The 25,584-nt window shown below is 38.4% G+C and overlaps 1 long non-coding RNA gene across 1 annotated transcript, besides 1 other annotated feature; it reads left to right on the forward strand.

Annotated features, from left to right (window-relative positions):
• Positions 3,905-5,104: an enhancer, noted in NCBI's record as "BRD4-independent group 4 enhancer chr1:170607884-170609083 (GRCh37/hg19 assembly coordinates)". NCBI's record gives its function as "activates an origin of replication core promoter dependent on BRD2, P300/CBP, MED14 and CDK7 cofactors, and independent of BRD4, by STARR-seq in HCT116 cells {active_cell/tissue: HCT116}" and the evidence as "EXISTENCE:reporter gene assay evidence [ECO:0000049][PMID:35650434]".
• Positions 6,075-25,445, forward strand: LOC105371610 (uncharacterized). Its single transcript, XR_922277.2, has 4 exons — positions 6,075-6,265; positions 20,570-20,620; positions 21,948-22,009; positions 25,361-25,445. It is a non-coding gene; the product is annotated as an uncharacterized LOC105371610 (long non-coding RNA).

Here is a 25,584-nt window from a genome sequence, read left to right on the forward strand (position 1 = left end):
TTGTGCTCCTGGAAACATATTTTGTGATATTAACATACCCTTTTTCTATTTTCCACCTTCCCTTCTCCACATTGAAGGTTGCTAGTCCTCCTGTCATTACTCAGGAATGATGATACAGGGCAAGGAAGGAAGCAAACACAGATCAAAGTCATTCTGTCCATTGTTTCTAAAAGCCCAAGCTTCAGAGGAAATGATTGGTTGTGGAGTATGCTGAGGAGGCAAAAAGAAGGAAATTCTATAGCATGAACAAATGGAAAATTATTTCCATTAGGGTGAAAATCACCCTGCCCCTTTTGAGCTAGTGGGTTGAAAGAAAAGAAAGAGATTTGTGAGCTGTTAGAGTAGAAGAGATCAACATCCTGCTTCTCAGGGCACCACAGGAAATGTTCTGAGACCTCCAAGAGGACCTGGCTGAGCAGTTCTTAGGCAGAAGAACACACAAGCAATCTCATCAAGAAAGGGTCTGTGCTGGAAACATTCCAGAAGTAGTAGGAATCTGTTGGTCCTGAAAGGGTCATGTGGGCAGAAGACATTTCCATGGCTATCAATGTGGCAGAAAGACTGAAGACAAGGTGCCTCACCCCTAGTCTTCACCCTGTATAAAATCTAAAATCTGTACTATAACCCAGAATGGAGAAGTCCAAGAAATATTAACGTTTATGTTTTTTGTCTCATGTGTTGCAGTCTTAAAATAGGAATTAAATTGATTTGACAGGGAGGTTGCAACATTTCTTTCTGACCTGAATTTGTAGAATGGCAACACTTTTATTAGATTCTTATGCTCTTTTTAAAAAATTTATTTTCCCCCTTAAAGAGTGCAAACTTAGCATTCAAGTTGTTTTGAAGAATTGTTTCTCTAGCTCTCTTTTAATAGAATTCACCATCTTCAGAAACTTAATAGACATGGAACATGGAAGTCTTTAGCAAAATAGACTTTATTGCTGCAAAAACTACTTGGAATTAAACCCAATCTAAATTACTTCAATATAAAACGAAAGGAAAGAAAAACCAAAATGAGAATAAATAAGGAGTTCAGAAGGGTCAAAGATGGTAATATTAAATAATATTATAGTCCCCTGATTATGGACAGTGTCACAACTTGGCCTCGTTTTACACCATTGCTACCGCAGCTCTCCTCTTGTTCAAATGTTTTTTCTTTTTTTTCCCTTTTTTTTTTTTTTGAGACAGAGTCTCTGTTGCCCAGGCTTGAGTGCAGTGGCACTATCTTGGCTCACTGCAACCAACCTCTGCCTCCCAGTTTCAAGCGATTCTCATGCCTCAGCCTCCCAAGTAGCTGGGACTACAGGAAAATGCCACCATGCCCAGCTATTTTTTTTTTTTTTTGGTATTTTTAGTAGAGACGAGGTTTCACCATGTTGCCCAGGCTGGTCTCAAACCCCTGAACTCAGGCAATCTGCCCGTCTTGGCTTCCCAGAGTGCTAGGATTATAGGTGTGAGCCATGGTGTCTGGCCTCTTGTTTCAGTTTTTGGTTGTTTTTTTTTTTTTCCTTCTTTAAAATCTCCTGACCCAAACATCATTATTGTTAGGGACATCACATAAAAAATTACTGCAATTATTGGCATTTCAGCTTAGGAATTATTCCAAGTTTCTGATCGCTCTGGGCTCTTTGAACCCCATCATGAATGGGTTCTCTTAAATCTCCAGTCTCCCTTGCTTTTGGATCTTGGCTTTCTCATCTGTTGGTTGCCCAACCTCAGACCATCCTTATTGTTTTGGGTTGAATTGTATCTCACCCTCCCTCCTCAAAAGATATGTTGTAGTCTTATCCAGTGCCTCAGAATATGACATTCGTAAAGGCCTAAAGATGGAGTATTCATGGAGATAATGAAGGAAAAATCACTGGTACCCAATATGACTGGTGCCTTGCAAAAAGGAGACAGAAATACATAGAGGGAAGACGATGTGAAGAGACACAGAGAAAATACAGCCATCTATAAGCCAAGAAGAGAGGCCTGGAACAGATCCTTCCCTCACAATACTCAGAAGGAATGACTGCCGTGGACATATTGATTTCAGACTTCTGGTATTCATCGCTGTGAGACAATTAATGTCTGTTGTTTAAGCCACTCAGTTCCTGGTACTTTGTTATGGCAGCCCTAGCAAATGACTACACTGATCCTCACCTGACACTACCTTCTGTTAATTGTTCTTTGGCTTCAAGCACTGAAGCCAAAGGCAGGATGCCGCTACCCTATGGAAACACAGCAGAAAAACAACACACGCTCCTTACCCTTCACTTTTCAGGAGAAGTAAACTGGATAGCCACCCCGTGGGCTTCAGAAATATTTTTGCTATATAACTATATCTATTTAATAGTAATGATTAGGATTAGTCTCTTTCAAACACATAATTCACTATTGCATTAACTCATAAACATTGTCAAGGGTATTGTTCACAGTATCACCCATATATCTAAATAAAATCCTACGTAAGAAACATCTTCTGAAATTCAGTGTTTCACAATTTGGTGATACCTATAAAACTTTCAAATGTAATGATAATCCATGACCGAGCAATTCTACATGGCTCTTAGGTAGGCAAAAGCTTGGAGTGTTTGTGGAATATGAAAAAGGCCAGCCTTAGTCTTTAGGTGCTTCAAGATATGGATCTTGGCCAGGCAGCGTAGCTCATGCCTGTAATTCAGCACTTTCGGAGGCCGAAGCGGGTGAACTGCTTGAGCCTAGGAATTTGAGGACGGCCTGAACAACATGGCAAAACCCCATCTCTATCAAAAAATACAAAAATTAGCCAGGCGTGATGGCACCTGCCTGTAGTCCCAGCTACTGAGGGGGCCGGACACTGAGATGGGAGAATCACTTGAACTCAGGGTGGGGCAGAGGTTGAAGTGAGCCCTGGTTGCACCACTGCACTCCAGCCTGGGTGATAGAGGAAGACGCTGTCTCAAAAAAAAATAATAATAAAATAAATTTTAAAAAGGATATTTCTGGAATAGTCTGTTCTTCATCTTAGCGAACAATCAAGGTTACAGCAAAGTGAAAAATATTCCTAAAACATAAAATGCACTCCTGTAATCCCAGCACTTTGGGAGGTTGAGGCGGGTGAATCACCTGAGGTCAGGAGTTTGAGACCAGCTTGGCCAGCATGGTGAAACCCTGTCTCTACTAAAAATACAAAAATTAGCCAGGCTCAGTGGTGGGCCCCTGTAATCCCAGCCACTTGGGAGGCTGAGGCAGGAAAATCGCTTGAGCCTGGGAGGTGGAGGTTGCAGTGGGCCAAGATTGTTCCATTGTACTCCAGCCTGGGTAACAGAGTGAGACTCCATCTCAAAACAAAACAAAAAAACAAAAAACAAAACATAAAATATTTTCTGTTTGGCCCTTTTGACTCCTTGGAATTTACAATGTTTAGACTGAGGGTTTCAGTTTAATGTAGACCTCATCTATACCATATATGTGTGACCCTTCACGTTATGGGTCCTCAAATATGAGATTAAGGCTAATGATGCTGATATGATCAAGTTAATAGGGCAGAGGCAAACATCAGGTATGTCTTTTCAAAGAGTTCTACAGCATAGCTGAGATAGCCCTCACCCCATATATATGGCCATGATGATGGGCTGTTTGTGAATTATTTTTTGTGTTGTCATTTTTTCAACTGACAGGTAAAGATTGTATACATTTATGATGTACAGCATGATGTTTTAATATATGTATAACTTGTGAGATGGCTAAATTGAACTATTTAACATATGCATTACCTTACTTTTTTTCTTTTTTTTGAGATAGAGTCTCCCTCTGTAACCCAGGCTGGAGTGCAGTGGCACAATCTTGGCTTACTGCAAGCTCCACCTCCAGGGTTCACACCATTCTCCTGTCTCAGCCTCCCAAGTAGCTGGGACTACGGGCGCCTGCCACCACGCCCAGCTAATTTTTTGTATTTTTAGTAGAGATTAGGTTTCACCGTGTTAGCCAAGATGGTCTCGATCTCCTGACTTCGTGATCCACCCGCCTTGGCCTCCCAAAGTGCTGGGATTACAGGCGTGAGCCACCGTGCCTGGCCTACATACCATTTTTTATGAGAACCTGTAAAATCTCTCCTAGAAATTTTTAAGTATAAAACATATTGTTCTTAACTGTAGTCACCATGATATACAGTAGATCTCTTAAAGTTATCCCTGTTGTTTAACTGAAATTTTGTGTTATTTGACCAATATCTCCCCCAATAAGCATCATTTTACTCTCTGTTTCTAGGAGTTAGACTTTTTGTTTGTTTGTTTGTTTGTTTTAGATGGAGTCTCTCTTTGTCACCAGGCTGGAGTACAGTGGCACAATCTTGGCTCACTGCAACCTCTGCCTCCCGGTGAGATGTAAAGCCAGCTGGACTTCCTGGGTCGAGTGGGGACTTGGAGAACTTTTCTTACAAGAGGATTGTAAAATGCACCAATCTGCAGTCTGTAGCTAAGATTGTAAAACGCACCAATCAGTGCTCTGTAGCTAGCAAGAGGTTGTAAAATGCACCAATCACTGCTCTGTAAAAACGCACCAGTGTTCTGTAGCTAGCAAGAGGTTTGTAAAATGGACCAATCAGCACTCTGTAAAATGGACCAATGAGCAGGAGTCTAAAAGTAACCAATCACGGGGAGGATTGAGAAAAGGGCATTCTGATAGGACAGAAACAGGAAATGGGGGGATACAAATAAGGGAATAAAAGCTGGCCACCCCAGCCCGCTGCAGCAACCCACTTGGGTCCCCTTCCATGCTGTGGAAGCTTTGTTCTTTCGCTGTTCACAATAAATCTTGCTGCTGCTCACTCTTTGGGTCCATGCCATCTTTAAGAGCTGAAACACTCACTGCGATGGTCCACGGCTCCATTCTTGAAGTCAGCAAGACCACGAACCCACTGGAAGAAACCAACTCCAGACACACCAGGTTCAACTGATTATCCTGCCTCAGCCTCTTGAGTAGCTGGGACTACAGGTACATGCCACCACGCCCAGCTAATTTTTGTATTTTTAGTAGAGACGGGGTTTCACCATGTTGGCCAGGATTATCTCGATCTCTTGACCTTGTGATCCACCTGCCTTGGCCTCCCAAAGTGCTAGGATTACAAGGCATGAGCCACCATGCCCGGCCAGTTAGACATACTTACACTCATGTGTGAATGAGGACATTTGGTACTTATCTTTCTGTGCTTGGCTTATTTCACTTAACATAATGTCCTCCAGATTAATTCATGTTGTCGAAAATTACAGTATTTTCTTCCTTTTTTAAGGCTGAATAGTATATATTTTGATTTGTAGTTGTATATATGTTTGATTTGTAACTGACTACATTATTGTGGCTATATACTATATTTTCTTTCTTCATTCATCTGCTGATGGCCACTTAGATCGATTCCACATCTTGGCTATTGTGAGCAGTGCTGTAATGAACAGAGGAATGCAGTTATCCTTCAAGAGTCTGATTTCATATATGCCCAGTAGTGGGATTGCTATATCATATGGTACTTCTATTTCTAATTTTTTGAGGAACCTCCATACTGTTTTCCATAATAGCTGTACTAATTTACATTCCTACCAACAGTGTGTGAGGGTTCCCTTTTCTCCAGTCTCACTGGAATAAGCCAGTTTCCTGAGGCTTGGTTGCACCAGGGCCAAGAGTACTTACAGTTCAGAGGGGGTGAGCAGAGATTAAGTTGGTGCAAGTTTTTTAAAATGAAATATAAATTAACAAATATGAATTATTAATATGAAAACTGATGCCTTATTTTACACCAAGAAGAAACAAACACTGTGCACCTGCTTCTGTAATCCTTATGTAAGTGAAGGAAGTGCTGTGCTTTAGACTTTATTGTGGTTTCTTTGGCTTCTATCTGCCCCCAAAGAAAACAAATACACACACAGCTGTTACAGCACTTGCTTTCTGCTCCAGAAAAGGGTAAGTGTGGAATAGAAATATTGGGTGCCTTCAGACATTGCCTAATAACTAAAAAGTGTCAAGCAGCAGGACTCTCCTAGTTCCCAGTAAGGAGGCACTAATTCATTATAAAAGCAACCCTGCACCTGCAGTGATAGCTGTTTTATGCTCATCTGTGTACTGGAGGCTGTCCTTGCATAACTGTGAGTCTGAGGCTAAGGAAATAACATCACCACTGTGAGCCTGGAGAAAGAATGCACAATGGTGATTCCAAAACCAAAGGAGACAGATTTTCAGTCCCACTGGGATAGACCAGTTTCCAAGGCTTGGTCCCATCAAAGCTAGAAGTGCCTTCAGTTCAGCGGTGGTAAGCAGAGATAAAGTCAGTGCCGTTTTTTTTTTGTTTTTTTTTTGTTTTGTTTTGTTTTGTTTTTTAATGAAGTGTAAACCAAAGACTTGAGAATTCTAGGCCATGCCTATTTAAAATTCTTTCAAAGGTCCAGGCAGCTGCAATACAATAGGTGCTTGGCTGAAGTTGACAATGCCAGTGAATTTAACCTTTCTTTCAACTGTTTTCTCTCATTGTCATTATTGGTGGTTTTGATGAAGGATTAGGTGATATATGGAGAATATCTTTTGGGCTTTATTTTAACACATCCCATTGGTAAAAGAGAGATGGACTGTCCTTTGACATTTCCTCTAGAAAGCTCTTGTCTTTTCTTTCTACTATAAATCAAGTAGTCTTGTAATGATTTTAAATATGAATTATTTGACATAAAATGAAGATACTAATTACAAATTCTATGAAGCATTTTACAGAAACATATTTACTGGTTCATCCAACCAACTTTGATTGATCCCTGAGAGCCAACTACAGATTGTGCCAAACACTGGGAGAACAGAGATAATAAAAACACTCCATACCCAGAAGAAACATACATTTTAACAGGGGAAAATAGACATGTGAACTAATAAAAGCAATAGAATGTGATATATTCTATGATATGAGGGTAAACTATGATTCAACAGGGCCCAAAGATGAGAGTGATCAAAAAAGATTTCTAGAGGAAGTAAAGTTTGAGTCAATTTCCTGAAACAGGACCAAATACAGGTTTTCAGGAGAAGGACAGATTCTCCAAGCAGGTAAAACTAAAAATGTGAAAGTAGAGTCTGAAATAGCCTGACACATTTATACAGCTGAAGATAGATTTGATCAGAATAAGGGTGCAACTCTTTATTTATTAAATAAGTTCCTTTTAGTAGTGAACAAGATATGTTCAGTCCATGCCCACAGGAAGACTATGTTACAGTAATGAAGGCAGATTTTAAAAATTACTACGTGAATAGATAAATAATATAATTACAAAGTATAAGTGCATATAAAGAAAAAGAAAAGTGGGGGCTGAGATAGAGAATTGGGCAAAGAAGATGAGAAGGGACAGAAGTATTCCTTAAAGTTCAGGAAGTGTTTTTGTGAGAGGTGGCTTTGAAACTGACACCTGAAGCATGAGCAAAAGCTAATCTTTAGCAAAGCAGGTGAGATAACCATTACAGACAAGTAAAGGGCACAAGCTAAGTCCCTGATACATGAAAAGGAAGGTAGGAGGTAATGCTAATCTAGTCAATGTAAGGAAGTGCATGCCATCACTATACTAAGATATTTATGCTCTCTTTTACTGGCAATAAGGAACCACTGGATAATATTAAAAGAGACAAATATGATAATATTCTTTTTAAGAAATCCACTTTGTTGGCATGGTGGAGAGATATTAATCATAATGAAACCAGTTAGCAAATTACTGCAGCAGCCCAGTCAGTGGAGACAGAATTGAGGCAAACAATATTAAGGAAAGAGAATTGAAAGGACTTAATTTCTTTTTGGATATAGTATTTTTTTTTTTTTTTTTGAGACAAGGTCTCATTCTGCCACACAGGCTGAAGTGCAGTGGTGTGATCACAGCTCACTGCAGCCTCTACCTCCTGGGTTCAGGTGATCCTCCCACTTCAGCCTCCTGGGTAGCTGCTACTACAGGCATGCACCACTATGCCTGGCTTTTTTTTTTTTTTTTTTTTGCATTTTTTGTAGAGATGAGATCTCACTATTTGTCCAGCCTGGTCTTGAGCACCTGGGTTCAAGCAACCTGCCCGTGTAGGCCTCTCGAAGTGCTGAGATTACAGGTGTGAGCCACTGATCCCAGCCCTGGGTAATTCCTTTCTATTTGCTTTATTTTGCTTTTACTTATTGCTTATAATACAAGAAATGAATGTAAATTTGGAAGAAATAAATAACCACCAAACAAAAAATTATACAATTAAATCATGAAAAATTCCAACACGTGCACTTTCTTCCAGTCTCATTTCTATGCAAATATATAATTTATAAACATGCTTGCCTAATTTTTTCACGTAACACCTGTACTGTGAATATCTTTCCAAATCAGCAACTCCATTGACTTCATTATTTTAATAGCTACACAATATTTAATTGCATTTATAATGTATTTAATCACCCCATTATTAGACTATTTGGTTCTTTCCATATTTTCTATTATAAAAATGCTGTAAGGAATATTACTTTATATAGATCATTGTCTTCTTGTTTGATTATGTTCTAAGCATTTATTCCTAAAAGCCAGATTATTATGCCATAGCAATTTTTTAATGCTTTTAATACAATTTACCAAAATACTCTCCAGAAAATCAGACACTTTCCTTCTATCTGAACTCAAAAACCATTTTCTCACAGGGTCTCGCTATGTTGCCCAGGCTGGTCTTGAACTACTGAGCTTAAGCAATCCACCTGCCTAGGCCTACCAAAGTACTGGGATTACAGGTGTGAACCACAGTGCCTAGCCAAAACAAGTAACTTTTATTGGGACTGCGTTACATTTACTGATTAATTTGGAGATAATTGGCATTTTTAATATATTGAGTATTTTCAACTGGGTAGGAAATGCCCATCCATGTCAAGTCATATCTTCTTTTATGTCCTTCAGTAGTGCTTTCTTAGTCTTCTTTTGTATGCCTTACACATTTGTTTTTCATTTTGCACTTAAGATATTTGAAATTTTATTATCCTTATGATTGGGGTATTTCATTTAACATCATGTATTCCGACTGACTATATTTGATATCTAGAAAAACTTTGGAATTTTAAATGTTTGATTTGTAACTGACTACATTATTGAATTCATTAGTTTTAAGGAACTTTTTTTTGTTGATTTTTTATTTTATGGTATTTGGTAAATTTACTTTCTCTTTCCAGTATTATTACATTATTACATAGTTTCCCTATCTAATCGTGTTAGTTGGCATTTTCTGTATAGTCTTATATAACCATTGCAATTATAGACTCCTTTCATTAGTCTTGACTTTAATGAGAATTTCTGTAGGATTACATCATGATGAATGATATTGTTCAATCATTTTAAGGTATGCATTTTTATCATGTTAAAAAGTCACTCTCTAATTCTATTTTTTAAAGTTTTATTGAGAATATATGCTCAATTTTATTAAACACCATCCAAGTATCGCTTCTGATACTTTTTATTTGATGAATAATGGTAATACATATTTTGCTATCAAACCATCCATTTCTTTTGCTTAGTCATTGTGGCTTGGCATTTTAATAAATAGTTTAGGTTGTTTAGTTAACATCTTGTTTAGGAAATTGATGAGTCTTTTGATTTTTGTGCTCTAAGATTTTGGTATCTAGATTGTGCTAGCTATATTTTTAAAAATTAGAAACAGCCAATTCTAGCAATTTAATTAATCCTTTCTCTAGTTTTATATACAGCTATATGTTCCTTCTTGGTGTTTCCATTGTAATTTATACATTTAGAATGGGATAATATATTTTTTAATAATATATAAGAGCATATAGTATGTTATAAAACTATAGAAGTGTAATATATTTTAATGTCATAAGATATAAATATATCATAATATATAATGCATATTAAATGTATACCTATCTTTTATATTTCCATACTTGTAACTTTCTAGTTATTCAGAAATATTAATCTACCTGAAGGTGGTAAATAGGAATGAAAAAGAAAAAAGCAAGAAAATAGTTGACATTCAACTTCTGACTACCAAAAATGGGACTTTTTAGTCATTTTTGTGACAATATTCTCAGAAGGCTGGCATTGTGGAGAGAGTAAACAAATTTCTGTTTTTAAACTTTCTTTATCATATCAAGAATTAGGACAGGCTGACCTCAATATCAAGCTCTCAAGGGTAGAGAGAATTCATAGGCATAATTCCTTCCCATACGGGGAAGGGAGAATAATATGGCCTAATATTGGTCTAATAGATTATGAGAAGGAAAGGAGAAAAAGAGGTAGGAGGAGGTAAAGGTCAGACCTTGTCCCTCAGACGTTCTCTCCATGGGGGCCCCATCTTCCCCATCTTTCACTAACTCCAAGAGCTTGTCTCCCTACTTCCCAAAGACCCGAGTTTTGGAACTCTGGAAAGAGATGGCCTCACGGGGTACAATCCTGTATCAAAATAAAATGGTGGAGAGACTTGGCTTGCTTGTAAGGCCTGAGTTAGCTATTAAAAGACTCCCTCATCTCCTCTAGTAGATGGAAGGGATCCAGAAGTTTACATGCCTCATGGTGTGGAGCAGGGCGAGAGTGAGAAAGGTAATTGAGTTGACCCATTGGACCTGTAAGAGACTGCTGCAGTAAACAGTGAGGGGACCTACTCAATATACTAGTGCTGGGAAGCTGAACCCAGCCGGCTCAGATTGAGAGGAATGTTCAATCCTGGAGAGAGTTGAACTGGAGCTTAGTGAGTTGGGGAAGACTAAAATGAACTGATGAGCTAAGTAGAAAAACACCTGTATTAATAATAACTGCAAAAGGGAGCCCAAGGATTGATCCCCACCAAACACTTTGTCACAGAGAAACTAAAAGTCAACATAGAACTTTTATTCATGGAAGTTAGACTCTCTCTTCCCAGCTTGTAGTAGACTTCAGACCCCTCCTTGATATACAGTAAGTTCTAACTTAATGTTGTCCATAGGTTCTTGAAAACTGTGACTTTAAGCAAAACAGCATATAACAAAACCAATTTTACCATAGGCTAATTGATATAAACAAGATTTAAGTTCCTATGGCATACTTCTGGTCACATACACACAAAAATCACCAAGCTTCTAAAAAAAAAGAACACCAAATACTTCTAATATGAAACATTGAAATAAAAGTGAGCTCTATATACATTAAAGAAAGATTAATAAACGCAAGTAAGACACGTATTTATCCAATTTTTGGCGAATCATTGAGTGACAGTGGTCATAGTGGTGGTGGGTTAAATCAAAGAATAATGTTTGCAAAGCAAGAATTGTAATGAGCTCTTCCTACCCACACGCCATTAGAAAATAATAACAAATGTGGTGGGCTTGCCAAGTGCTTTTGTACTGCATCATTTATTGCCATGCATTGTATGATTATTGTACACTTTACTGATTTTTATTTGACAATAATTTGTGTCCATTCATTCATTTCCCAAACCATTTATTCCAGTTCAGGGTCATGGATGGCCTCCCATGACCCTATCCCAGCAGCTCAGGATGCAAGGCGAGAATTAACGTGAACAGGACGCCATTCCATCTCAGGGTCATTCACCCACACACACACACTCACTTAGACTGGGACCAGTGAGACACAACTGTTCACCTAATGTGCACAGCTTTGGGATATGGGAGGAAACTGGAGTATCCAAGAAACCCCATGAAGGCATGGGGAGAACATGCAAATTTCGCACAGACAGTGACCCTGGTCAGAAATCAAATTTTTTCTTCATCAATTTCATAGCAAAACGATATTGAGTAAAATGACATTATCTGAAGACCTGCTGTACTACGATGCCATTGTAGAAGAAACTCAGAGGAAGGGAAAGCAAACTGAAAGACTGAGCATTGACATCCCCAAAGAGATGAAGTTATCTTTGAGAGACTATTATACACTCCCCAGGGGTCTGAGATGCTGTTAATTACTTAATTTAGGCTTTTCCTTTGGCCCTGATGGATGAGGGGCTAGGATAAATAGATGTTATAAAAATTTTTAAAAATACTTCTCTTAAGATTTGAGAAATAGAGTGTTCAATCATTGACTCTACCACACAGATGTTTTTACAAATATCAATTTGTTTCTCTTCCCTCTTAGATAGTGAGCACACTGTAGGCAGATCTGATTTTTTTTTTTTTTTACCCCTCAGAATTGGTAGGCACTAGACACCTTTTTAGTAAGTGAATAAATGTGTGTCTAATTCAGAAAGGCCTGAAGGATTGTTTTAAAAATACACATTTGGCTGGTTAGGCTTTGAGATAAACAGACATGAAAAGTGCAATGAAGACACACATCTTGTTGAGAAATAAAGTTTTAGGTGAAAAGGTGAATAGTTAAGAATCTGCAAATATAGAAAAATCAAGACGTACAAGGGTTATTGTGTTGAATTATATTGGACCTTGAATCTCAAATGCCATTAACAACAATATGGGCAATAAGAATGTTTTAATCCTCACTTCTTGTGCTGTCTGACTCAGTATTTATACTTTTTATTTGATCTTCAATAAAGCTCCCTTTGTTCTCATTCATGAGTAATGGGTCCAAGGTTTTTATTATTATTCTCACTGCAGTAGGGTGCAGTAGCTGAAAATTTTCTTCAACTTATGGAAGTTCAGATTTTTTTCAGTTGAAGCTGTTATCTCCAGAAAGAACATACTTCACCAACACAATCCAGAGGCAGAGCCATGACAAATCTTCCCTTCTGTCCAAAAAGAGGAGCCTGATTCCTAGCACCTGAGAAACATACTGATAACAATATGCATCCCGATGTGACATGGCAAATGAGTTTTTCATTGCAAAGAACGAATACCTTTCAAAAATAGGGTGGGTGTAAAGATAAGGAGAAAAAATAATCTAAGTACAAGTATTCTCTGATTTATAGGCTAAGTATTCATTTTGTAATTCCCTCTTTTCCATTGTTTTACCAAGAAAAACAGCAAGTCTGGATGCTGACTATATAACCTCCCTCTTTACTCCATCTTCAGGAAAAGCATTCAAAAACTAGACAGATTCTAAAACAATCCGTGTTAACTCTATTTTGGGATATGAACCCTTTAATAAGATAAGCAAAGGTATCACTGTTTTCCTCTTCCTTGTGATATTTTTATGTTTTCAATTGCCAGTGTAGTGCAAAGTAACTCAAGGGGGTCAAGTGAGGGTGAAGTAGAGGCTAAGGGAGGGAAACAGAGGGATATGGGGGAATAAATTTACTCTAAATCTTAACTATACAGTTTCAGACCATTGAATTGGTCTGAATTTACATCATTAATGCATTCCGGCATGATATACCATCTAGCAAGGTGGTTAAGAGTCCAAGCCTGGTCATCAGAGGGAACCAGATTCTAATCATGCCGGGGTGATCCCCTGGGAAAACTACTTGTTTGATTTTCTTATCTGTAAAAGAAAATAGTAAAACTTACCTTATGGGGTTATTGTGAAGATTAAATAAGATAAAGAATATACACTTAGCACAGTGTTTAACATATAGCGAATACTCATTAAGCCATTATTACTACTACTACAATTCCTTGGTTATAAAATTGAGGTCAGTGTGAACAACTGGATAGCTGGGAGAGAATTATCATGGCCTTATATATTTCAGATGCCTGTGTGCAATGCTATATACTTAGTATATAATTTCATCAGACACAAAAAAGCATAGTTAAAATCCTGCTAAATATTAGAAGGCAATTTGTGAAAACATTTTACGTTTTTTAGAGCAATTAACATTCTGTTTTAAGCATTTTATTCACATTTCCTACTCATTCTTACAGAAATCCTCTGTGGTAGATAAATACCAAAAACTGAGCCTCTGATTTCTTGCTTGAACTATAGTTTCTGTGAGAAATGTAATAATATGAGATGTTTTCAGCTTGGGAAGTAGAATATGGAGAGAACCATTTTTTTTCTTAAATAAATGAAATGTACAAACTGTACTCTGTGCCTGTCATTTTTTAATCAACATTATATTTGTGAGATTTAACCATGTTGGTGCATGTAGCAGCAGACAGTATTCAACTATATAAATATATTAATTTTTTTTACCCATAATACTGATATTTGGGTTATTTGCAGTTTGGGTCTGGTACAAATAGTGCATTACTGTTTGTGTGTGTGTGTGTGTGAGTGTGTGTGTATTTCTTTGGGTACATGTATGAAAGCATTTCTGTTGGATTGTTACCTATGACCCAGAATAAAATGTCTGGGTCATGGCATATATTTGACTTTAGTAGGTGCTGCTGGTTTTCAAAAGTTGTACCAATTTACATTCCCCGAAGCAGTGTATCGGAGTTTCAGTTGCTTGTACAAAGTTACCGGCAGTATATGAGTATTTCAGCATATGAGAGTGGTGTTCTAACTATTCTAAATTCTTAAAAGCACTGTCTATTTCATTTAACTATTCTGGTGAATGTATGATGGTATCTTAATTTGGCTTTAGACTAGATATATCACTATGTCATTTTCACATAAAAAGAGTTTTATTTCTTTCTTTCCAATTTTTTAATGAGTTTTTCTTCTTTTTTATTGTACTGCCTAGGGCCTTAAAAGAATGTAAATAGAAATGACATTAGTAGGCATCCTTTTCTCATTCTAAATCTCGGGGGGAAAGCTTTGAATATTTTACCAGCAAGTATTATTTTTTCAGTAGGCTTTTCATAAGTGTTATTTATCAGATTGAGGGACTTGTTTTGTATCCCCAGTTTGTTAAGGTTTTTAAAAATTATTATGAATGTGTAATTTTATCAAATACTATTTCTTCATGAGTTTAGATAAACATAAAATTTTTCTCTTCTATTCTCTTAAAGTGGTGAATGACATTGATTGACTTTTTAATATTAAACCAGCTTTGCATTCCTGGAATAAACTCAACTTGATTGTGAAGTATTATGATTTTTGTGTATTACTCAATTTGATTTGTCAGTATTTCATATAATAGTTTTGTTTGTTTACTTATTGACCTGTAATTTTCATTTTTTTGTTATTTTCTTTTCTTATAATGTCTCATTTTGGTTTTGTTTTCAGAAGTATGCTGGCCTCATAAAACAAGTTGAGACATGTGTCTTTTTTTTTTTTTTTTTTTTTTTTTTTTTGAGACGAAGTCTCGCTCTGTCGCCCAGGCTGGAGTGCAGTGGCGCAACCTCGGCTCACTGCAAGCTCCGCCCCCCGGGGTTCACGCCATTCTCCTGCCTCAGCCTCCCGAGTAGCTGGGACTACAGGCGCCCGCCACTACACCCGGCTAATTTTTTGTATTTTTAGTAGAGACGGGGTTTTACCGTGTTAGCCAGGATGGTCTCGATCTCCTGACCTCGTGATCCGCCCGCCTCGGCCTCCCATAGTGCTGGGATTACAGGCGTGAGCCACCGCGCCTGCAGACATGTGTCCTCTTTATTCATTCTTCAGAAGAGTATTTATAATATTGCTATTATTTCTTCTTTAAGTTAGTGAAAAAATTGATCCTTCATGCATTCTGAGTCTGTCTGAAGATCTCTGAGTGGAAAAGATTAATTCGATTTCTTTAAAATGTGCAAGATTACTCATAATTATTTTTGTGTTAATCTTGTTAAATTCTATTCTCTTTTGTTTGTTTGTTTGTTTGAGACGGAGTCTCACTCTGTCGCCAGGCTGGAGTGCAGTGGCGAGATCTTGGCTCACTACAACCTCTGACTCCCGGGTTCAAGCGATTCTCCTGCCTCAGCCTCCGGAACAGCTGGGACTACAGGCGCGCCACCACGCCCAGCTAATTTTTGTATTTTTAGTAGAGACCGGTTTTCACCATGTTAGCCAGGATGGTCTCCATCTTCTGACCTCACGATCCACCTGCCTCGGCCTCCCAAAGTGCTGGGATTACAGGTGTGATACACCAAGCCCGGCTTTTTTTTTTTTTTTTTTTTTGAGGAGTCTCACTCTGTCGCCCAGGCTGGAGTGCAATGACGCCATTTCAGCTCACTTCAACCTCCACCTCCCGGGTTCAAGCGAGTCTCCTGCCTCAGCCTCCCAAGTAACTGGGATTACAGGTGCCTGACACCACACCTGGCTATTTTGTGTGTGTGTGTATTTTTAGTAGAGACAGGTTTTCACCATGTTGGCCAGGCTGGTCTCGAACTCCTGACCTCAGGTGATCCGCCCGCCTCGGCTTCCCAAAGTGCTGGGATTACAGGCGTGAGCTACCGTGCCCGGCCATTAAATTCTGTTTTTAAAGAATCTGTACATTTCTTCTGAATTTTCAAATTTATTTGAATGAAAACATAATTACTCTCTTAAGATGTATTTAATACATAGAGATCTGTGTTGATTCCCCTTTTTTTACCCCAATATTGATAATTCATTTTTTTTCTCTTTTGTTCTTTCTTAGACTGGCAAAGAACTTACTGATTTTCTTGGTCTATTCGAAGTATCTGCTTTTAGCTTTGTGGACTTTCTCCATTGTACCTCCTTTTTTTTCTATCTTATTAGTTTCAGTTCATCTTTATTGTTTCTTTTATTCTACTTTATTAGTGTTTAATCTTCAGTTTTTTATGTTTTTGAGATAGATACTTGAATCACAAGTTTTCAGTCCTTTTTTCTCTAATATAGCTTAAGACTATAACACTATAAAATCTCCATCAGAAATATCCTTAGATGCATTCTATATGTTGGATATGTAGGATTTTCACTGTGTAGTCCAAAATGTTTCTAGCTTCCATTTAAATTTCTTCTTTGATAAATAGTTTATGGAATAAAATAGCTTAATTTCCAAGCATACTGGAATCTTCTGGTTATCTCATCTGATTATGTCTTTATTTTACACTTGAGTTCTAGCTTGAGCATTTAATTGACTAGTTTCAATGCCTTGAATAATTTTGAGACTCATTTAATGGCTCTGCATATATTTTTCTGCCTTAGTCCATTTTCTGTTGCTACAACTGAATACCTGAGATTGGGTAATTTATAACGAAAATAAATTTATTTTTCATAGTTCTGGTGACTGGGAAGTCCAAGTTCTTGGAGCCACATCTGGCGAGAGCCCTATTACTGGTAGAGACTTTCTTTAGAGCCCCCAAGGTGGCATCACATGGCAAGGGAGCTTATTAGAGACAGCCAAACTGGCTTTAATAACAGACCCCCTCTCATGATAACTAACCCATTCCTGCAAACCTATTAATGCATTGATGAGGACAGAGCCCTCATAACCTTTCTAAAGGCCCCATCACATTTTAAAGTTCTCATCTCTTAATACTGTTACACTGGGGACTGAGTTTCCACATGAGTTTTGAAAGAGACAAACATTCAAACCACAGTGCATATAGTCATTAACATTTTGGTCAATGTTATCTATGCATTTGGAAAAAATATACATAGTTCGTCATAGTTGACTTCAGTGTTCCATATGTGTCAACTAGGCCAAGTATTTTTCAGACCTCCCCTCTTTTTAATAATTTTTTTTTGTGTTATGGAGAAAGATATATTAAATATTCTCTATAATTATGGTTTTGTATATTTCTCCTCTTGGTTCATCTAATTTTTAATATTTATTTTTGGAAGCCACACTAATAGATGCATACAAAGTTTAATTGTAATGTTTTCCTATAACATTCACTTTATTTGTTGTTATTAAATGTCCTTTTTCATGTCTAAAATTGTTTCTTCCTTTTAAGCTTATCTTTTCTGGTACTCATATTCTTTGTTTTGCTGATCTTTTCACAAAATGTTCTCATTCTTTTGCTTTTAACTTCTCTTTTTCTTTATATTTAAGGAGTAGCTCTTGTAGCAATCTGTAGCAGCATGATGTTTCTTGTTTTTTAATTAGTGTATTTAGACCATAAGACATTATTGTTATCATTATTTTTACAGTCAATATTCATTCAGACTTACTGACATATTTGCCATTTATTTTGCACTTTATTTCTTCCTGAATTTCTATGTTTCTAGGTAAAATCATTTAGAAACTGTGTTTAGTGTGAGTTTGCTGGTAGCAAATTGATCTCAAGTTTTACTTTGTCTGAAACTATCTTCATTTTGTTTTAACAAAGATACTTTCACTAGGCATAGAACTTCAGGAGGGCAGTTATTTGTTTCCAGTACTTAAAAAATGTCATCCCATTGTCTCTGGCTTTCATTGTTTCTGTTGAGCAGTCAGCCTAAAGTTTTGCTTTTGCTACTTTGGGGCCAAAATATCTTTATTTCTCTGGCCATTTAAAAATTTTTCCTTTTTGTTGTTTGTGTTTTGTTTGTATCTCACCAGTCTTATTATGATGTATGTAGGTATCATTTTCTTTTATTTGTATTTATTCATCTTGTTGTTTAAAGAGCTTCTTGAATCAGTGACTTGATGTCTTCCATCAACTTTGGACAAATTTTAATCAAACCCAATTTATTTAAATTTCCCCCATCCTCTCTTTATTCTTCTTCTGAAATTCAACTACGTGGATGCTAGATATTATCCATATGTCTATATCTTATCATATATATCTCTTCTGTTTTTTCTATACTTCTCATTATTTTTGCTCTCTGCTTCAGTCTTTTCTCCTGACCTATTTATTTTCCAGCTCACTAATTCCCTCTTGAGCTGTGTCACATATCCTGATAAACTCATCTCTTGAATTAAGTTCAGTTTTTGCATTTTTTAGTTCTAGAACATTTCATTTGATTCTTATAGTTGCATGTTTTCTTGTGAAATTCTCATCTTATCATTTATTACTTTGATTATGTTAATTAGTCCATGTGTGTTGTGTATTGCTTGTCTTGGTCTAATTTTTTAATACACTAGATTTTTTGGTGCCTTTTTTTTGTTATTTTTATCAAATGTTGGACATTTTGTGTAAACATTAAAATGATTCTAGGCCAGATTTGGTGGCTCATGCCTGTAATCCCAGCACTTTGGGAGGCTGAGGTGGGTGGATCACTTTAGGTCAGGAGTTCAAGACCAGCCTTGCCAACAGAGTGAAACCCTGTCTCTACTAACAATATGAAAATTAGCTGGGTGTGGTGGCAGGCACCTGTAATCCCAGCTACTTGGGAGGCTGAGACAGTAGAATCGCTTGAACTTGGGAGGCAGAGGTTGCAGTGAGCTGAGATCGCACCACTGCCCTCCAGCCTGGGCGACAGAGCAAGACTTTGTCTCAAAAAAAAAAAAAAAAAAAAAAAAAAAAAAAAAGACTCTAGTGCTATATTTCTCCAGAGAGGATTCAACCTATCTTGAAAGGCAACAGAGAGGCAGATTAGCTCAATCCAACCTGGGACTAAACTCAGTCTTTCTAAGGCTCGGTCTACATGCAATTTTTTTGCATTCATAGGGTGTAGCTTTCCAGGACTTCTAACAGAGAGCCTGGAGTGTTTCTTACGGATTCTTCTCTTTGACATGAACTTCAGTTTTTGTCTCCTTAGTATTGTCAAGTTGCAAAAATCTCTGATTTGCCATTATTCACATTATGTTCTGCTTCTTAGCCTTTTGCTTACGCAGCTTAATTGGCTAATACCTTGTGGGGAAGACTGATGTGAATGTTGGTCTCATTTGTCTCAGCCTCCCTTCTCTATAAAATCTCATCAATACCAAACTCCAATTTCTCTTCCTCCAAGGCCATACAGTTGCATAAATCTCTACTGTTCTCCTTTTTTAAACAAATACTATCTCTTTTTTCAGTCTCTTGTTTTATTCCAAAGTGCTGCCGATAACCCAAGGATAAAAATGGAATGAAACAAGTCTGACTTACCTCAGAGCATCCTTGTCTGGAATATACAGTTGCTCAAGTCTTGATCGCCTTGGCAGGTGTCTGATATTTGAAGTGAGGAAGATATAAATATTTTTAGGTTCTTAAGTTGCTTTTGCAGGGAGCACTACTCTTCTGCTATAAGCTACTACATCATTGCCAAAAGAATTTCTGAACTAAATTTTAGTGAGTATTTATTACTTGCCAGGCACTATGTTAGGTCTTACTTGTTATCTTACTTTTTTTTTTTTTTGAGATGGAGTCTCGCTCTGTCACCCAGGCTGGAGTGCAGTGGCACAATCTCGGCTCATGGCAAGCTCTGCCTCCCGGGTTCACGCCATTCTCCTGCCTCAACCTCCCGAGTAGCTGGGACTACAGGCGCCCGCCACCACGCCCGGCTAATTTTTTGTATTTTTAGTAGAGACGGGGTTTCGCCATGTTAGCCAGGATGGTCTTGATCTCCTGACCTCGTGATCCGCCCCTGTCAGCCTCCTAAAGTGCTGGGATTACAGGCTTGAGCCACCGCTCCCGGCCTTACTTTTCTTTCAGATGTACTTTGAGCTTCTGAGACTCAAAGTGTGAGACTCAGAGGAACTAAGTTACTTGCTCAAAATTTCTTTAAAGAGTTAGAAACAAAGAATAAACTTTCAAAGCCTCTAAAGCCTCTAGTCTTTACACCACATTAGGGACAAAGTAGGATGTAACACAGTGTCTGGTAATGGTTAAAGATTAATGGTGAACTACTACTTTATGTCATTTGGTCCAAAATAGAATATAAATGTTGATATCTTTGATCCTGTGTAATAATTTTTAATGGAGACTGAGACACACAATAGTAATGAGTATTAGAGAGGTCACTAAATCTCTTTTCATATTTTGAAGGAAATAATTCTGACTTTTCATTTAAAGGAGCAGATGATGCTCAAAAGAACAAATCAGGAAAGAGGAAAGAATAAAAGGGTAAGTAGCAAAAGGAAGTGTTTTTTTTCTCCAGTATGTATTTCGGAGATAGGTAGTTTTGGTGCTTTAAATGCAGAGCTGGGTACCAGGTTCATGAAAGACAAAGGTATGTATTGTATAAAGAGGTGAATGGTGACTTAACAAAATGTGGAATTAATAGGTTTGTGATCTGCAAAGTGCTGATATAACACAGTATTTTAGACTTTTTAATAAAAGTTAGTTTTCTTATTTCCACCATATAAATCCTTACTTCTTTTCTGTAGTGATAAAGGCAAGAAAAGAATGTCAGGAAAGAATGACAACTGTAATTGTAATGACAAATGTAACTGGTCCTATATACACTCATACCTTTTACACTGAGTTCCTCACATACACATTATCTCAAAGCATCACTTTGAGGCAGGAAAGAAAAAAAAGTCTCTGAAATTTTGTGAAATTACTGTGGAGAAAAACTTGAAATAAGGCAGATCCGGGTGTCTTTAACAAGATAAAAACAAGAAAAATTAGGGTAAAATATATACCTAACCTAACAGGTATAAAGGGACAAAAGAAGTTGTAACCAGTTTGGATGTTTACCTGTGAGCTAGCATTATAGAAAAAGTGGAGATCTGGGAGAAAAGAGAGAGACAAGCTCAGAAATTTAGAGATTTGTAGAAGGGGAGGAAAGCAAGCAGAGAAGTGGGCTGTACTTGGTTCCAGATTTATGGGAGCAGCAAGCCAAGGAAGGTTATCTAAAGTGGCACACCTACCAGGTATGCTATAAATAAGCCCCAAAGTCAGCTGAAGGACCTTATGCATTTCAAATCAGCCTAACTTACCCAGGTCCAGAGAATTTTGTATTTGTACTGTTGGATTCCATCTCACGTCTGCCTGGCCTGGAAACAGAGCTTCAGGGCCCAAAAGTTGAAGAGCTTGCAGAGGCACCAACCTAGTCTGGGATCTCAGTTTAGATGTCTTATTCAGGGCCAATAGTCTGGTGAGTATGCAGGTTCTCAAATTCTCAGAGTGAGACACAAAAAAACCTACCAGGCATGAATTTTTCCTGCAAAGGAATGAGGGGTTGGCATTGGTTTATCTTACAGCTCTGTGTGCTGCTGCTTGCCTAGAGCCATTCCCATTTTTAAGCATCTAAGTTACATGCATATGCCCAACCTTAAAGGATTTTTCTAAAATAGGAAGATAGCAAGAATTAAGCTTCCTATTATCCTGTGAAGCCCAGAAGAATCTGAGCATAAGGTAAAGAGTGGAGGAAGGGAACTAACATTTGTTGAGTATTGATTATGATAAGGCATTTTTCCTTTATTCTCTTTCTTAATCCTCTCAATAGCCATTTGTGGTACATCTGAATCAGCCTGGTGAATAAGATTTGGGTTCCTCAAGACAGAGAAGGTATGGCACCTGCATACTCATATTTCCTCTGAAAGCATCTGGCAAGACACCTGGACTACTAACTGTTGTTATGTTTATATAATATGAACACACTGTAAATATAATACATACATATTCACATATAGTGTTGCCTATTCACCTCCTTCAGTATTACTTTATTTTCAGTTCCAATTCCATAAGGATTTATTGGCTATTTTGCATCAGGATTGATGCTAGCTAGATAATATAGGCAGACCTGGAGGTGGTATCAAAGAGGAAGGAATTTGGGATAATTCCTAGGTTTACTACTGGGGCAAGAGTTTAAATTTATGTTTCTTCAATAAATGTGCAGATCCAGCAAGGAGATAGCTATCTTTTTTTTCTTCAGAGCTTACTATATGCTAAGCACTGTGATAAATTGATTGCCTGCATTCTTACTTAATTTTCACAAATATATATGGTAGGTGCCATAATTAGCATTATTTGAGAGATGGGTAAGCTGAGGCTTGGAGTGGTAACTTGCTCAGTTTGCACAAGATGACAGTAAGTAGATGGACAAGCTTAAGGTTTACATTTTGGACTCATTGACAAACAGGTGGTAGTTAACTGCTGTGGTTTGGATATGGTTTGTTTGTTACCACCAAAGCTCATGTTGAAATTTGATCCCTAGTGAGGGCGAGTTGGGGGTGGGGCCTAGTGGGGGGTGTTTGGGTTATGGCAGTGGATCCCTCATGAATGGCTCAGTGCTGTTCTAGCATTAGTAAAAACATTCTTGTTCTCACAAGAGTGAATCAGTTCTCAGGAGAATGGATTCTCATGAGAGCGGGTTGTTATAAGCTGGGATGCCCCTAAGGTTTCCCTCCCTTCACACATGTCCACTTCCCCTTTTACCCTCTCTGCCATATTGTGATGCAGCAGAATAGGTCTCACCAGAAGCCAGGACTTGAACTTGAACTTATCCTTGAACTTCTCAGCCTGCAGAACCGTGAGCTAAACAAACGTCTTTTCTTTATAAATGACCCAGTCTCAGGTATTCTTTTTTTTTTTGAGACAGAGTCTCGCTCTGTTGCCCAGGCTGGAGTGCAGTGGCGAGATCTCGGCTCACTGCAAGCTCCACCTCTTGCGTTCATGCCATTCTCCTGCCTCAGCCTCCCAAGTAGCTGGGACTACAGACGTCTGCTACCACGCCTGGCTAATTTTTTGTATTTTTAGTAGAGACAGGGTTTCACTGTGTTAGCCAGGATGGTCTCGATCTCCTGACCTTGTGATCTGCCCACCTCAGCCTCCCAATCAGATATTCTTTTATAGCAACATAAAACAGACCAAGACATAACCCATAAAAAGTATGATATCTTCTAAGAACAACCTATTTATTTTGAAAGACAGTAAAATGAAGACCAGAATTCTAGAGAATATAAATATTTAAGGAGTGAGCAGAGAAAAAGGAATACACTATGAAAACCAAAATAAGTGGTCAGAGAAATAGAGGACCAGGAGAAAAATATTCAAAAAAAAAAAAAAAAAAAAGGATGCTCAACACTATCAATTATAGCAGAAGCATTTAGCAAAATAAGGCATGAGGAATACTTACGGCATTTGTAAATGTGCATGTCACTGATGTCTTTAGCTAAAGCTGCCTCAGTGATATATGCAAAGTCAGTGTCCAGCCAGTGATTTGAGGAGCAGATGGGCTTAATGAAACTATTCTAGGTCCCACCTGAATATATTGGGCTTCCCAGACTATAACAGAGCAGATCAATTACCAGCTCATTACTTGGAAATGTATTTTTAGTCTGACTTCCTTTGATTATTATAAAATTTCAAAATAATTCAATGGGGCTATTGGATAAAGAATAGAGCATAGGAGAAATGCTCCTGAAATAACACTTATTATTACAAGAATCAGAATTGGAAGGATAAAGGAGAGTTCCTTTCAAGCCTGACATAAAGACTCCTAAAAACATTAAAATATGGGAACCCTGCAGAATCCATTTTGCATTTGTCTTTTCCCCTGTATCATTGCTAATGAATATGTCCTAGATTGTCAACCATGAGAAGGAAAACATTTTAATTCCCACAGCATGTTATTTGCCTGAGAGTGGTGTTGTCTTCTTTATGTGTCATGGAACCTGTGACCTGTCACCTAATTATCATGTTAGTTTATTAACATGTCAGGGAGTGCAACCCCTGGTTTCCACCTCAGAGAGGAAATTGCTTAGGGTGGGAGACATTCTGCTAGCCAGATAAGGCAGAGTTCTGCCAACTTTCAGTGCCAGGGAAACCCTAGGCAGTAATCAGTACCAAACCTGACTATTAATAAGACCACCCAAAGGCACATGGCTGGGAACCAAACCTCTCTCCTACCTTGGTCTGATCTATTGGCAAGTTTCCTTGCTAGATCCAGCTTTGCTCCCACTTACATAGGGATGAATTCAAAAACAGGAGTTATTGTAAAGGAGGCAGGGCAGAAGGAATGGTTGGAAAGTGGGTCTCAGATGCTGGAAGGGTCATAAGGGAGAAGTTTCTGGTTAGTTACATCATGCAGGGCTTCAAACTTCAAAAAATAATAATTGATGGATGGAAGTCAAAGCTAAAGCCAAAGAAAGGCCTACACATGTTCAGAGATTTTGAGTTAGAAATTCTCTTTTTCCAGCTCTCTCTCCCACCCCCAAAAGTCACATGGGGAAAGCAAAGTAGTGATTAAGGAACTACAGGGGCAACAGCAGGCTATTCTCCCGGGCCTTCTAAATGCCAGGCCAAGCCTGCCGCCTGCTTGGGAGATGAGTATGTGCTGTCCACCAAAGCTTCCTCAAGTCTCCTCTCCTGACATCTTTCTGCCAGATGGTCGTTCAAATTCTCAGGGTGCTTTGCCCTTCTGGTTCCTACAACGTGAGCCAAGCCCAGAGAACTTTGGTCCTTCAATTTCCCCCTTGCTCCACCCCTCTTGTGAGCAGGACCTGGAGCCTGGAGGTCAAGGAGAGGCTAGGAGCAGCGACCTATGGCGCTCTGGGAAGGAGCTCCCGGCTTGCCTATGGGTGCCCTGGGGAGAGCATCACTTCTGGCTCGGAGGGTTTCGGGAGCGCCTTCTCCAGCTCAAGCACTCCTTTTGTCGTTTATGAGGTGAACGCATTATCAGCTCTGTCTTGAATTTCCCTGAAGGGTTATCCCGATTTTTAAAATTGCAATCCAGACTCTCAACAAATTACAAATGTGTGTAAACATAATCAGAGTGTGGATCCAATCCACTTGTAATTGCTAATAGAAAAAAAGGAAAAGAAAAAACCCACAAAGACTTAAACAAGCAAGAAAAGCCGGGGGGCGGTGGGGGGGATCAGTTCTGCAGGGTGTTTGCCTTTGTGATTTGCTTCCTAGGAGACTGTCCCAACGCGTCCCGCAGCCCACCCTGCCTCGAAACTCCCTGCGGTGATGTCGGGGCTAGAGGAATCCAGGGCTTGGTCCCTGCAGCTGAGGCCTACGGGATATCCCAGGAAAGAGCAGCCTCTCCGTAGTGGTGAAGAGTCTCTCAAGCCTTAGCGCTCTGGTGACCTCCGCGGGATTCTGAGAAAAGCACTGCGGAACGGCGGGAGCGGGCCCTG

This window comes from Homo sapiens, chromosome 1 (assembly GCF_000001405.40).
Source record: "Homo sapiens chromosome 1, GRCh38.p14 Primary Assembly".
Taxonomy (NCBI): domain Eukaryota; kingdom Metazoa; phylum Chordata; class Mammalia; order Primates; family Hominidae; genus Homo; species Homo sapiens.